This window comes from Homo sapiens, chromosome 10 (genome assembly GCF_000001405.40).
Source record: "Homo sapiens chromosome 10, GRCh38.p14 Primary Assembly".
Lineage (NCBI taxonomy): Eukaryota > Metazoa > Chordata > Mammalia > Primates > Hominidae > Homo > Homo sapiens.
In genome coordinates this window covers 102,606,454-102,622,152 of record NC_000010.11, presented here as the reverse complement: position 1 = coordinate 102,622,152, position 15,699 = coordinate 102,606,454, and the positions used below count along the sequence as shown (strand labels likewise).

The 15,699-nt window shown below is 52.1% G+C and overlaps 1 protein-coding gene across 12 annotated transcripts in view; it reads right to left on the bottom strand.

Moving 5' to 3' along the window:
* Positions 1–15,699, bottom strand: part of SUFU (SUFU negative regulator of hedgehog signaling) — a 130,717-nt gene that overhangs the window by 11,383 nt on the left and 103,635 nt on the right. For 10 of the 12 annotated variants that reach the window (XM_047425335.1, XM_011539863.4, XM_047425336.1 and 7 more), the window contains 2 exons: positions 6,751–6,885; positions 4,725–4,863 (listed from right to left, as the gene is read on the bottom strand). In XM_047425335.1, the coding sequence (XP_047281291.1) occupies positions 4,725–4,863; positions 6,751–6,885 (274 nt within the window). Of the gene's footprint in view, positions 1–2,684; positions 3,088–4,724; positions 4,864–6,750; positions 6,886–15,699 lie in introns of those variants that run through there. The other 2 variants (XM_011539864.3, NM_001178133.2) reach the window with 1 other exon arrangement.

Genomic DNA, 15,699 nt, shown 5'->3' with positions numbered 1-15,699 from the left:
TCTTGGTTACCCCCAGTTCCCACCTTTGGCCAGGGAGGGGGGCTTGGAATCTAGGCCAGCAGCTACTCCAGTGGGCTCACACCAGCTGCCTTAACCAGCTTGGCTGGGTGGTGGTGAGGGAGGACTGTCAACAACCTCCCAATTCCCCAGGCCCCAGCAAGTTCCAGAAAGGAACCCGAAAAGTGATCTTGTGTCAGTGCCTGCCCTGGGCAAGCCAGGCTGCACTGCAGGCAGGGGCCCAGCTGCTGCAGATCTGACGCCGATTCAGATGTCTGTGGTCAATGATATTTCTGAGTCTGCAAAGAGTGGCTGACAATGCCCACTCCTTCCCTTTGGTATGACAATCCACACTTTGTCCAGGGCATTGTTTGTTCTTCATGTTGACACGTTGTACTTGCTTCCCAACAAATTTGGCTTTCTTTTCCCTCCCTTTCCTCCTCTCAGGGAAGGAAATGTGTTGTTTACAGTGGAAGAGCCTGCCAAGGAGCTGCTCTGGCACCCACGATGGCAGTGGAGGAGGCAGGGACGGGGAAGCAGTCCTGTCTGCATCCCTTCCCTCCCACCCCCACTCCACAGGCCAGACAAAAGCCAGAAAACAGCCTGGAGAACACCCCCAACCCAGGTCAGGGACAGAGGCGTGTGGTGCGGCAGGTAGCGGGCTGCAGTTGGGGCACAGGTCTCGCTCATTTCCTGTTCTTAGTGGGCGGTGAAAAGTTGGCTCTGGTGGCCAGAAGCGGGCTCAGACTCCTGCTCTGGCTGTGGGCTGCCAGGGACACAGGGCGGCATCACAGTCCTTTCCTACAAGGGAGGGTACTTCCCCAGGCGCATTGCTGGGCTCTAAACCTTAATGGGTGTCCCCCTGGACAACAAGGTCTCGGGGCAGTCCAAGCAAAGGTCTCCAGGGAGAATAAGTATGCCTGGGTTCACCCGTGGAAGGAGGAACAGTAGAGGCACCAAAGAGGAGGTGCCCAGGGCATGGGCTGGGGATTCCCAAGTCATCTTCTACACAATATCCAAATGGGTAGCAGAAGGCAGGGCTTGCCCAGAGGAGAGCTCGGCAGCACCTTCCCAAGCCTGGCCTGGAGCAGCAGAGCCCACTTGGAACAGCTGCTGGGCGTCTTCTCCCACGCCTGGGGCTTCCCATCAGGACTGGCAGAGAATGGCTGGGACTAGGGGCGCAACCTGGGTGAGCTGTCAGACACCACACAGCTGAGAAAGCATTGCGGGGCCTAAAACAATATTCTCATATTTGGTGATGTGACCCCTATGTGACCGCTGGGGCTGAGACTTATCCCCCTTCAGATCAACCCTGGCTGGGGACGGATGAACAACTCAGCTCTGGGCCGGGCTCCCGCTCAGAAGACTAACAGCCCAGTGTTGACAGGCTCAAGGGAGAGAGGCTTGTTAAAGCCACCAGGATGAGGAATGCTGGGGGAAGGAGGTGCAGGAGCAGACCTTGGCAGGCCCCCTCCCAGGGTCTGAAGAGCCTCCTGCACAGCCCCGGAATTGGCTGATAAGCTTTACAGTCTCAGCAAGGATGAAAACAGCAAATGGCAGGGCAGACGGAGTCAAGGTGCTGTTCTCCAGAAAGTGAAAGCCTGTGGAACTGGAGCTGGCTTCCTGCACCCCCAGATCCTCCATAAAGCAGGGAGTGTCCACTGTGCTCCACCTGGTGCTGCAGACAAGCCCTGCTTTGCCACATGCTGGGGCCCTGACTCTCCTGGGTCTGGACTGATGGGGGAAGGCTGTGGAGCAGGTGGGTGTGGAGGCCTGTCTGGGGCCATTCCACAGGCTCCGGAAAGGGGCTCGGGTTCCTAAACCTTCTGCCTTTTCCTCTCGGCCTCTCCTTGTCACTCTTCCCCCTGCAGGATGTCTCTGCCACGCTTTCTCCCAAGAGATAACAGGCCTGGGCTGGGCTGGTGGCCAGAACAAGGTGCCAAGGCTGGGAGTGAGGGCTTCCAAGGCTGCTGTAACAAAGTCATCCCAGCCCCTCCATTTCAGCTGGGACCAATGGGAGAGTTCCGGCAGCAGTTAAGAGAACATAAGACTGGGTCTCGTCATGTCCTGGGTCTATTGGATTTCACTCCTTCCTACTCCTCTGCCTCCAATAGGCCTGGGCACACAAGGCCCAAGAAGACACCTCGGAACCCTGGGGGTGCGAGCAAGAGATGCCTGCAGGGAGCAAGGGTGGGCCTCTTTGTGCTGGGGTCCCCTCCTGAGGGACCTATGGCTCTCCTTGGCCCAGTGGAGTGGCCCTCACTGGCGACTGCAAGTCTAACCCCAGGCCTCTAGGAGGTCCTGCAGACTCCCAGGGAGACAGCCAGCCCCAGAGGGAGATCTAGAGGCCCACAAGTAATTACAAGCCCAGGTTCCCACAAGCAAGGGAGCTGCCTGTGACCACAGTGGCAGGACCCTAACAGGGGCGGCTGGCTGGCAGTCAGAGGGAGAAAGTGCTGACTGCCTGGCAGGGGGAGGAGGGCTGGTGTGGGTGTTGGCTCCACTGCTGAGAATCCGGCTGGGGGCAGGGTCAGAGGGTTTCCCAGGGCTCCTTGGAAAGGGCCTGAGAAACCCCTCGGTGATCAAGGGTGGGTGCTTGGGGTGTGGGGCCTCCGCCAGCCTTCCCAGGAGCTCTCCTGTGAGCCGGCCCCGTGGTGGACCACACTAATGAGCCCATAACACAGGCCTTTGATTGAGTAGCTCCCAGCACAGCAACTTTATTGAAACATGCCGAGGCCAGCAGCTCGTTCCCACCGCGCCCCGGTTCCCTGGGCAACAGCCCATGGGAGGGGACCATGTGCTGGGGAGCCAGCGGGTGCTGGGCCTCAGGCTCGCTGAGGGGCTGCCAGGGAGGTGAGGGGGTTGTGGCACTGGGAGTGGGAACCCCGGCAGCTAGGGGGTCAGGGGCTTGGGGAATTGGGGTTGGGTCCGAAGGGCATTCAGGGGACTGAGGGGCAATGTGACATCTGCGAAGTCCTGTGGGGGCCAAGGTTCTTGAGCTGCTGAAAATTGGAGATGCTGACTACCCTCTCCTCAGGGCAGAAAGACGTTCCAGGACGGGAGGGCAGAGCTCCGAGGATAGGTTCAGAGCTGAGGATGTCAAACATAACTGGGTAGATTCTGCAGTTTGGGGAGGCCCCAGTCCCGACTGTCCCAGGAAAACGTGCTTGAACATTACACACACACACACACACACACACACACACACACACACACACACACACGCTACCTGAGGACACTTGGGAATGATGACCTGTGAACTCTCAGGGGCTTGTCCTTACCTCCAGCCTCCTCAGCAGCTCCGCCCAGGAGACAGGCCTGCTCCCTCCCTGTTCTCCACAGGGGCAGACGCAGCAGCCCGGGACATGGCTGGGGGTAGGGAATGGAGGGAGGCCCTTTCCACTTGTGCTGGGCTAATTTCAAATATTACACTTCAGAGCTTTTGTTACAGTAACTACCAACACCACATGGACAGAAATCTAATGTTACCAAGTGGGACTTTTAAAATGTATTTATAACTTTATGGTTCAAAGTAATTTTGTTATGAAACGATATAATAACAACAGTGGAAAAAGGCAAGATAATTTATGGAACACAATATCCCTAAAGCACTAGCTTCCATTTCTATCTCGGCTTAGTCTGGGGAGTGTGGTTGGTGTCCTTTGTTTGCTGTTTGTTTTAATTAAGGGTTGTATTTTGGTGGTGGCGGGAGAAGAGGGGCCTGGCCTGAAGGAGGAGAAATTCTGTAGACATGCAGGGACAAAAAGTGTGTCTGTATTGACTACATATGCTTCACAGACTCCCCAGACTGGGTGAAACTCACAAACCTAGCATCATTCTCTTCCCCTCTACTGTAATGCTGCATGCCTCTCCAATACATTCACAAACCAGGTATGGCCACCTTTAGGTTTAGGGTCAGGTTCCCTTTCTTGATACTTGCGAGCGAGGTGAGGTTAAGGGTTCAATCCTCTCCCCACCCGCAACAAACAAATGCCAAAAAAGGATGCTGTCCCTCCAAGACACTCGGGAGTGTGGTGGAGTAGGTTGAGCACCTGTTAGAGACCCGGGACGGGGTGGGGACTGGAAGGAGGCCTATGGCTCTGAGGCCCTGGTACCCTGCTTGGCAACAGCTCTGAAGCTCGCTCCAGCCAGAAGAGCAAAGGAAGGACAAAGTGCTCCGGATAAGCCAGCAGGTCTCTGGTCACACAAACTCAGGAGGAACGGGAGGGCTGTCAGATGGGGGTAGGCTAAGAAGGGGAGGCTCTTCCCACTGAGGCCTGCCCAGCCCTGGTCCAGGCACACATGCCACTGTCTGAATTCTGGTGGGATTTCCATGTAGCCATTGGAGAGTGGCCTCCACACATCCTCCCATCTTGCTTCATCCTTGAGTTCTTGTACCTTGGTTTACCCAAGGTGCAGAAAGTCTTATATCCCTCCAACCTGGATTTCCACGGGGAACCAGAATTACCAAGAGCCAGGGCCTGGAGAGTTAACACTTGTGTCTCAGGTGACAGGGGGAGAAGGTCAGGAAGTGCTCCTAAGCTGCTGGAGTGGGTAGCAGCATCCACACTCCATACCTACACACAGGCCCCAGGCCCTGAATCCATGAGGCATTCATGACCAGCCCCCCAGGAAGGGGTGCCATCAAGAGCTGCCAAGGGAGAAGAGGAGGGGTGGGCAAGGAAGTCTATGAAAGGAAGGAGGGAGAAGAAAAAGGGCCTTCTCACTTGTAACCAGGGTCCATGAGCCGCGTAAGGATGCTCCTCAGTGGCAAAGGCGCCTTCCACTCCCGTGGAGACAAACGTGATGGCCATGTCACCTGTGATACTTTTATATGTAAAGTGCCGTCCATGCAGGAGCCTGCCCCTGGAGATGGGAACATGGAGACAGTGAGGAGCTGGGCTTGGAAACAGTTCCAAGCACAGCAGGCCTGGCCAAGGCTCTGGGACAGTGGGGACTATGGTCCGCGGGCCAGGTAACATGCCCTCCTGGCTGCCCACCTGCCCATCAACAGGGGACTGTATCCAAACACGCTCATTTCAACACCTTCAAAGAGAAGCTCCTCTCACAAGTTCTCTAACATCATCCTTCCAAAGTGCTCAAAGCTAGCAGAAAACACTGAGTTCAAAAGCCCTGCAGAGATCCTGGAGCTCACCTCCCTTAGGAAAATTGAGGGCAGAGAGGGAAGGTAGCAATGTGCTGAAGGTCATGCCCAGAGGTAAGAGGGGGGTCACATCCCCCCTTAGGGGACGGAGGTGAAGTAGCGTCTAGACAAGTTTCCCTGGGACGATGGGATAGTGCCTCCGCAGTGGGACCCTTCAGTGTCCAGGGCAGAATCTTCCACCTGCTCCTGGGCTTTCCCATAACATTCAAGTGGCTGGCCCAAAGGCCACAGCACATCTTTAAAAAAAAAGCAAGCAAGCAAGCTGAAGCCAAGTGGGGTCACTCAGGGAGCCACAGAAGTTACTGTTAATCCCTAGTCTGGAAATACACCTGGGGGAGGGGCAGGCAGGGGCAGCTAATGGGCAGAGCCACTCATCAGCAAAGGAAGTGGAACCTGCCCTCTGCCTTCTCAGGCTGCCTCCAATTAACCCTTCACCAGTTGAAAGGCCCTGGGCCTGGGCCAGAGAAGTGGCTGGGGAGGATGTGGCTGTGGGATGGCAGTGGGCCCCTCCAGGTCCTGTTCATTCTGGCCATTTGCTCTCTGTCTGCTGCCCAGGGTGGCTGGCCAAGGCTAGTTACCCTTCAAACTCACTCCCAGGTGCTGGGGACAGTGGGGAGTCCCCAAGTGTGCAAGTTCTTCTTCCCTGTCACTGTTCTGTGAGTTTAGAATTACTCTTGGTGACTCTGCTGCTCAAAGTGTGGGTGGAGCCCCTGGGCTGTGGGGTAGCCAGCTGTAGCAGATGCAGCCGTGCAGCAGCCCTGAGCACAGAGCTGAGTTCTGGCCATAGGGCTGGGCTTTTGGCACTGTGGACAGAAGCAGAAGGGACACAGCTGGGCTTCCTGGTCCCTCAAGGAGTTTGCTGGGCTGGCCACTAGGTTTTAGAACTGAGTGTTTTGCATGGGAAAAGCAGCAAGCAGGAGAAAATAGAGCCCAACCCACCCAACCCCACCCTGACAAACCAGTGCTACTGGGGACCCTGCCATCCCTGCCCTGGGCTTGTCGGTGGCTGGGGGCACCTGAGACTCCCTGGGTCACAGAGCCTTCCTAAGGGGAGCAGGGCTGAGGAATACTTCTCCCTGTGGATTCTGACTCCAGAACTTGCGAACGAGGAAGGTCTGTCAAACAAGCAATAGGAGACCAGTGGGGCTCTCTGGTCACAGTGCTGGGCGCATTGGGGACTGTTGCTGCTCTGGGCTAGACAGGAGATGCAGATAAGAGAGCCCCGCTCTAGGAAGCATGGCAGACTTCTCACCACCTAGGCCAGCCAGAGGGTTGGGCAAGGAGAACACCGCATGGCCCAGTGACATGGGGGCGACTGGCTGGTTCACAGTCCCCAGGCTCCTAAACAGGCCCCATGTGGAGTAGCTCTCCTCCCTCCCTGAGACCCAGCCTGCTTAGGTGTGTAGGCTGCCAACAGGCACCTCACCCTCATCAGGGAGACAGGGAGACGGGAAGCACGGGCCTGGTGGCTCCTTGGAGGCCCTGGAGGACGCCTGCTGGGGGAGGGGGCTGGGGAGGCTCTGAAGTGCCCCCTGGAGGCTGAGCTGGGTGCTGTGGGGTAAACTGTGTGGCAGGGCTGTCTCGCTCACCTTAGGCAGAGAGGAATGAGGGCTCCGGACTCCTGGTTGAATTTCAGATGTACGCTCTCAAGCTGCCGCGTGCGAATCAGCTCATGGGGAATGATGGCCGTGGAGCTGTCACTTTCCAGGCTGTCTTTGCGGCTCCTGTGAAGCAAGCACAGGAAAAGGTTCGGCACAAGGTGAAAAGCTCAGGGAGGAGCAAGATGGGAGTCTCCAGCTGGGCTCCTGAGTAATAAAGACAATAATGGTGACTGATGATAATGATGGTGACAGCCATCATTCTGTATATGCCTGGCGAGCGCCAGCCACTGCACCAAGCACTTCTCACTGACTGGCTACTCCTCACAATGCCCCCAAGAGGTGGCTGCCACCATTGTCTCTTTTTACAGAGGAGGAACTGGGGACAGGGAGGCTAAGTAATTTGCACAGGTTGCACAGCCAGGGAGTGGGCAGAGTTGAGATCCAGTCTCGGGCAGGTCTGATTCTATAAAGCCTGCATCTTTGGCCAACATTCTATTTTTTTTTTTTTTTTAATTGAGATGGTGTCTCGTTCTATTACCCAGGCTGGAGCACAGTGGTGCGATTTCAGCTCACTGCAACCTCCGCCTCCTGGGTTCAAGCAATTCTCCCGCCTTAGCCTCCCGAGTAGCTGGGATCACAGGCATCCACCACTACACCCAGCTAATTTTTGTCTTTTTAGTAGAGACGGGGTTTCACCATGTTGGCCAGGCTGGTCTCGAACTCCTGACCTCAGGTGATCTGCCCGTCCTGGCCTCCCAAAGTGCTGGGATTATAGGCGTGAGCCACTGCACCCAGCCTTTGGTTTTTGTTTTTTTGTTTCGTTTTTTTTTTTTGAGATAGCATCTCGCCGTGTCACCCAGGCTGGAGTGCAGTGGCACGATCTTGGCTCACTGCAACCTCCGCCTCCCAGGTTCAAGCAATTCTCCTGCCTCAGCCTCCCAAGTAGCTGGGATTACAGGGACCTGCCATCATGTCCAGCTAATTTTTTTGTATTTTTAGTAGAGACAGGGTTTCACCATGTTGGCAAGGCTGGTTTCAAACTCCTGACCTCAGGTGATCTGCCTACCTCGGCCTCCCAAAGTGCTGGGATTATAGGCATGAGCCACCGTGCCTGGCCCCAACATTCTATATTAAAGTTTATGGCACAGTGGCTTGTCTTTCCCTGTGATCAGCAGGAGCTTCTGGGAGCCCTTCCTCTCCTGCCCTGGAGCCTCTGAGCCCTAGCTCTGAGCACCATGAGATGCGGCTCCAAGAGTTTCTGTCCAGCTGACCCTGAAGGCTCTGAGGATGCACATTCCGCCAACAGCCAGGAGCTGCAGGGACATTCACACCCTTCATCTAACCAGATGATGATACAATCTGTACTGCTGAGTACAAGCTGGGCTCTTACGAGTCAGACCAGTGGGCTTGGCTGGAAAGCAGAACCGGGCCCCCGCCCTGCTGGGCTTTAAGGCCCCAGGAGCCTGTACCAGATTCCTCCTGACTGTGGCCTTGGCACGGTGAGCTGTCACTGCTGCCCCACACTCCCTCCTGCCTGCTCCCCACCAAAAGTGCGGCCCACGGCTGGGACACAGGGTCCCTTTGCATTCTAAGATTTGCTCTTTCAAATTCAGCTGCCCCCACTGACAACCTCTCAAATCTGCCTCAGCCAGAAATAAGAGTTACCCACTGATCCCATTCAAAAGGCCGGATCCTGGTTTGGGCTGTGAATCTCAGAACAATTCCCCAAGTGTCCATCAAAAACTGGGTGAGAAGCTCTAGTTATTTATCATTCAAGTGGCAGGCAGGAGCCACCCAGGATGACAGCCAGACAGCCACTGAGGGGCAGGCCCAACCTCCTCACACGTTGCGGGGCTAGGTGCTGGGGCCTGCAGCCAGGGTGGCACCCCAACAGGCAGGGCACCTCCCCAGGGGAAGGTGTAGGGTCCGCAGGCCAAAGACAGAGGATGGCCCTGTGGCGGCAGTGGGTTAGACGTGCCCCTGAGGTCATGGGCCGTGCCTGCCTGCTGGCCTTCTCCTTGTGAGGACTCACTCCTGGATCTGACTGTTCCTTCACAAAGCGGTCCCTTCCTCTGCTTTCCTAAAGCCAGCTCTAAAACTGCCTTTTCCCCTGGCTTCGCCTTTGCGCAAGACCTGTGAAGGAGACAAATGCTATGGCCAAGAGGGTCACAGTATTCAGGACTGGAAGGAAACTCTGAGGTTGTTTAATCTCCCTCTTTCCTTTACAAAAGAGAGTGGGTGACGCGTCCCCCCTCACCGTGCGTCAGACTTCTGATCGAAGCCTCAGACTTCCGACCAACTCTCTTTCCCTTCCACCAGGGCCACTGCACCTCCCTTCCTTCTGAGGGAGGCAGCAGTCACAGGTGAGGGCTCAGTGGAGACATAGGGTGCCCTCAGGGCCCAAACAAGAGCAGAACTCAGGAAGCAGTGTTTCCTGAGCCATGTTTCCTGAGCCCTTACTCTGCGCCAACCCTCTGCTAAGGCCATAGGTTCACTCGCTGATTCCTCCCAGCAAGCACGAGGTAGGCTCTGTTGTCAAGCCTTCTTTCACAGAGGAGGTAACTGAGGCTTAGGGAGGTGAGGTGACGAGCCGAAGGGCTCAGAGTGAGTTTAAGCGAAAGGACCAGGGGGTGACTCTCACAATCACTCCCCTGTGCCATCTTTGACCACCGGTTCCTGCCTCCAGACACACTACTGTCCTCCTGAGAGGGGCTGAGGCCTAGCTTGTCCAGGCAGGGCGTGCTAGAGAATCCCAGCCTCTATGGTGCAGGCAAAAATGCTCATGAATAGCAATGGGAGGTGGGGTGGGGGCTTGCAGAAAAGAATCAACAGCACACAGGGCTAGAGACGTCTCAAGCTGGAGGGAAAAATAAATTGTTGAAAGTCAGCTAAAGTCACCTTGGTAACTGCCACAACACACTCACCCAGAACCAGGACATCAAACCCAACTGCAAACAGCCTTAAAGAAATGGAAAAGAACTTAATCATCTGAAGAATTAATGTGACAAGTGCCCACATTTACACCTCCCACCAACCTTCAATCATTTGAAACTGTACTTTAATCTTTTAAGAGAAAAAAAAATTGCAAAATGCAAGATTTGCAGTCCTGGAGCTTGGGTATTTCCGGCATGCTGCTTCGATGGAAACGCGGCTGCTATACACACACACACACATGCGCGTGCACACACACACACACACACACACACACACACACACACACAAGAACCCAGTTTTCTGCTGATTTGTTTCTTCTGGACATCGATGCAGAAGCATGAATTATTTGTGTGGGCTAGGTGAGGTATTAAATCTGCAGCCGACACAGGTTTGCAATGTTTTGCATGGTTGTCAGCTTAATCTTAGTCATAAAAAATAAGTAGTGTGCTCGGCAGCATGGCCTAATTTTTCAGCTGGGCTGTTTTCTCCCTGAGTTCCCAGTGGAGGGGAAGGCATGGCTTTGGGGGCTGGAAGGGAGAGGGGCTCTCAGGGAGGCACAGCTCATACCCGCTGGGGACTGCCAGGGGCATGGGGCCAAGGCTGTGCTCCAGGAGGCAGAGTGGCTAACAGCTTAAGTTCTGGGTTCCAGTTTTATGTGACATTGGGCTTAACTTCTCTCTGGGCTTTGGTATCCTCTTAACAAGAATAAATAACAATAGGTCATTATGACTAAATGGGATGACTCAGATAAGGCCAATAGTGCCTGGGATGTAGTAGGTGCTCACAATATATCTGACAAGTGCATTAATGTGTTGACGTTAGCTGGCTGCCTCTAAAAGTCTATCTGCTCCTCCTGTAAAAATGTCAATGGCTTAACCAAAACTTGTTTGCCTTTACAACTGCCTCTGGCCAGGCCAGTTCCCTGCTGAACAAAGGTTCTTGCCTGGAGCTTGGGAGAGGGTACTTCTGAGATGGGGCTTGAAAGAGCTCCTGACTCCTTGAGTGGACCCTGCAGGCTTTGGTCAACCACTGGTGCTCTGGAAAGGCCCAACTACAGTCCAACAGAAACACTGAGGCCTTTGCTCTACTGAGGGAGGTGACGCCAGGGCTCTCTTCCTTCTACAGAGCACAAGCTGCCTTCCTGCAATTCTCAAACCACTGTTCTTCAAGTTGCCCAGAGCGAGCTGAATCCATCTTCCCATAACAGACTTTCCAATCCCTGAGGCTGCTCTCACATCCCACCAAGTTTCTTTTTCTACTATCTGTGGCTCTAACTTTTAACTAGATTCTTGACAAGGTTCTGAAATCCTCCATCCATTCAAGTCACCTCCCCTGGGCTCATTCTAACCTGTCAAAGTTTGATGTCCCATCCAGAAGTGAAGTGTCGTGTGTGGCAATAAACATAGTATGTGACCTCACCAGTGCAGATCACAGAGGGACTATGATCTCTCTTGTCCAGGACATTTTATTTCTATTAAAACTGTCATCGAATTATCTACTCTTTGTAACCTCCTCATACTACCAACTCACACTGCACTCCCTCTGTCAACGAAATCTCCCTCGGGCTTTCTCCCATGGGATGCCCTGGGACCCGTTCTCCCCCATATGTCTGGCTGATTACATGGAGCTAGGAGCAGAAGAACTCTGCGCTATCTGGCTAGTGTTCCGGCAGTTCGGGTATTTCTGAAACCTGACTCTGGCATCCATCATATTGGCATTCCTTCCTGACTTCAGATCACTGACAAAACTGATAAATTCGTCATCGATGTTCTCATCCCAGGCTTTGATTAAAAAGTAAACAGGAAAGGGCTAGGCAGACAGGCTGACGGACTGACATCATTACTCTTTGGGTATGCTCATCCAACCAGTTATAAATCAACCCAACCTTCCCATCGCCACGGCCCTCACCCTTCTGGATGTTCTCTGGACATTTCTGTTTTGCCTATAATGCTGTCAGAATGTTCTCAAAACATCTTGCTAAACCCCGCCTATATAAGGTCTACAGCACTTCCTTTGTCTACTTGGGCAGGTAAGCATTTCTTTTCTCTTTTTCTTTTTTTTTTTGAGACAGAGTCTTGCTGCGACGCCCAGGCTGGAGTGCAATGGTGTGATCTCGGCTCACTGCAACCTCCGCCTCCCAGGTTCAAGCAATTCTCCTGCCTCAGCCTACCGAGCAGCTAGGATTATAGGTGCCCACCACCACACCTGGCTAATTTTTGTATTTTTAGTAGAGACGGGGTTTCACCATATTGGCCAGGCTGGTCTCGAACTCCTGACCTCAAGTGATCCTGACCTCAAGTGATCTGCCCGCCTCAGCCTCCCAAAGTGCTGGGATTACAGGTGTGAGTCACCGCGCCCAGCCAGGTAGGCATTTCTAAAAAGGCAACGACGATGTTGAGTCCACTTAGCGGTCTTTGGAAAAAATTAAAAATAAATAAATAAAAAGGCAATGAGGATGGTCTGGCAAGCCTGGCTGTTTCTGACTCTCAGGACTCGCTCTTTCCCTTGGAGTGTTCACAGCCTACTTGCTGAATAATCTAGTCCAGAATTTTCACTGAGAGTGACACCAAGCTCACTAGTCTAGAGAGTGCAAGATGCTTTTTGCATCCTGAAACTTCCGAGTACTTCCAGTCTGCCAACACCTCTCTCCCATTCCCTCAAAGATTGCTGACACCAGCTTCATGACTCTCGCCTGCCAATTCTGGTGTTCTGGAGGCACAATACATGTGAGCCAGGAGAGCTGAAATAATAGATTCAACCCTCTTGTCAATGCCTGTGGGACCCTTCCTGGTCTGATAACCATTTGCTTTAATATGGAACCATAACAGAACTTAAGCAAATTTTGCTTTCTCTCTGCCACTGATAAATGTTACTCTGTCCAAACAATTGGGTCTAGGTTTTCTTCTTCTTGCTCCAAAGAGAAGTACAAAAATAATGTCCTTTTTGCTGGTCATTGCACTTTTTTTGCAAGACTCAGTTCTTGAGTTTCAGCTTTTCTTGACCCTGTTCTTTAAAGTCTATGCTGACATAACATCTCTCTCCTTCCAGCATTTGTTCAAATTCTTCCAAATTGAGTTGTGTGAAGTATTCTCTACAGACCTATATTGGTCCCTGGAGGTAATAGACCTCCTTTTGGTTTTCAGGGGACTATTCACAATAATAAGAGACATCTTTATTGAGCACAGACTATGGTGCTGGGTCCCATGCTAATCCTTTGTGTACTTTGCTTCCTTTCATTTCCATCACAACTCTATAAAGAGGCATTATTTTCCCCATTTTACAGATAAAGACACTGAAACTCAGAAACTTAAATAACTAGCCCAAGATCGCACAATGAGTAAAGAGCTGAGATAAAACCCCAAAAGTAACTATAATATTTCTACATTTCTCCTTAAGAAACTCCCATCTCTTTTGAGTGGTCTTTTCTTCCGGGGTTTCAAGACTATGAAGACATATCTATCTTTTCCTTGAATTCTTAAAAGAACTGCCTTCCTGGAAGACAGGGCAGGACTTCCCAAAGGGTATTCGATGGAATTTTAATTTAAGAGAAGCCTCTAGAAAAACAGGTGTGGCAAAGGTGGATGGAATATGTCCCATCTCAGATTAGAGATTCACAAAATGTTGGCATTTTGGACTCTGAGGAGGACAGAGGGAAAATGTACCGGTTTCATTTTGTGTAAGCCAGCATTTTCCAACTGTAGCCAGAGAACCCTCTTCTGGCTGAACACCCAAGAAAATCCCCTAAAACGCTGTGGGGACCTCCTCTAGGGACTACTGGCCCAGGGTTTTCCCTCCTGAACTCTGCCTGCCCAAGCTGCTTTCTCACAGGACTCACACTCCCTGCTGGTCAGAATTGGGTCCACAGCCAAGTTCCCCCCATTATCTTCTGTGCCCCTGAGACAGACACTTTTCAGGGGGCTGTCAGATGATTCTCCATGGCTCACCCTCAACTCTCAGCCTGAGGCTGGGGAAGCTGAAGTTCCCCTGGGCTTGCCTTGGCACTAACTGTGTGCTTTTTACCTGGCACACATCATCCTTTCTTTTCACTGGGCAGGGTAAACTGTAACAGCTCATACAATATCTTTTTCTTTTTTCTTTTTTAGTGTTTAGTCAAACGGTTTCATGAGGGTCATTACAATAGTCACTGTTTTCCCATGCTCCCCTCCTCGGAGACAACTGTCACCTCTGTAGATGATTCTTTCGCATTTTCCTTAAATTTTTTTTTTGTTTTTTTAGACAGAGTCTCGCTCTGTTGCCCAGGCTGGAGTGCAATGGTGCTATCTTGGTTCACTACAACCCCCAACTCCTGGGTTCAAGCGATTCTCCCACCTCAGCCTCCCGAAGAGCTGGGATTATAGGCACCCACCATCACGCCTGGCTGATTTTTATATTTTTGTAGAGATGGGGTTTTATCATGTTGGCCAGGCTGGTCTTGAACTCCTGACCTCAGGTGATCCACCCACCTCAGCCTCCCATCCTTGATATTTTAAATAAACTTTCCCCGGTGTTTCCTTTTCTTTTCTTTCTTTTCTTTTTTTTTTTGTTTGAGATGGAATCTTGCTCTGTCGCCCAGGCTGGAGTGCAGTGGCAAGATCTCGGCTCACTGCAACCTCCACCTCCTGGGTTCAAGCGATTCTCCTGCCTCGGCCTCCCGAGTAGCTGGGACTACAGGCACGCAACCGTTTCCAGCTAATTTTTGTATTTTAGTAGAGACGGGGTTTCACCATGTTGGCCAGGCCAGTCTCCAACTCCTGACCTCAAGTGATCTGCACGCCTTGGCCTCTCAAAGTGCTGGGATTACAGGCGTGAGTCACCACACCTGGCCTGGTATTTCCTTTTCAGGCTTTACCTACTGACTCCCCACTAGGGAAGATGAGCTTTTAGCTCTCTTCCATGCACCTTCCCACCTTTTCAGGATAACTGCACCATCAGTTTGTGTGGACTGGTGTGTTTAAATTTTATGACTATATCAATGCTGTTTACAGTTGAGCCATGTATTATATTAATATACTTTTCCTTTCTGTCATAATTTTCTATTTTCCTTGGATTTAATACCTGTCTTAGTTTTCTATGTGCTTATCACCAATTAAATCAGAATTACTATTATTGGCTGGGCGTGGCGGCTCATGCCCGTAATCCCAGCACTTTGGGAGGCCGGGTGGGAAAATCGATTGAGCTCAGGAGTTCAAGGCCAGCCTGGGCAACGCAGTAAAACCCCACCTCTACCAAAAGTACAAAAAATTAGCCAGGCATGGTGGCATGTGCCTGTGGTACCAGATACTCAGGAGGCTGAGGAGGGAAGATCACTTGAGCTCAGGAGGCAGAGGTTGAGATCACACCACTGCACTCCAGCCAAGGCGACAGAGTCAGACGCCGTCTCAAAAAAAAAAAAAAAATTACTCTTACCAATGGTCCACACATCCTCCTCCCAGGACATTCAAATACATCAGGTATTTATCAATTTTATTTTCTTGGAGACATTTCTCCAGAGGATCCTTCCAACCCGCTCCCACCTGAGTTGGCTGCCTTTCATTCCTGCTATACCGTTGTCATCTGGGATCACTCTCCCATTCACCCCGGATTCTCCTTGTCTCTTTCTCATGTTGAATCCATTTCCTACCCCCATATGTCTTCCTCACTTAGATTTGGATGGAGTGTATCCTCTAGCTGATTTCACTTTATTTTTTTAGTATGCCTCTCTCAGCTAAATGGTCTCTCCTGAACTGCCACCTTCAGGGGTTTCCAGGCAAACTAAAATACCAGCTTTCCTCTGTGCACCGGCATGCAGGCATCAAAGACCCTGTTTCCAGTTATGTTTTCTGGTGAACTGGCATGTATCCCTCCACCTTTATCCTCTTTTACAGGCAATACTCAGTGAAGAGGCTCAGATCTAGAGTCACACCACTCAGGTTCAAATCCTGGCTGACACTTAATCCCTGCAGTCTGATGCTAGATAAGTTCTACAACCTGGCTAAGTCTCAGTGTTCTAAGTCACAAGACAGG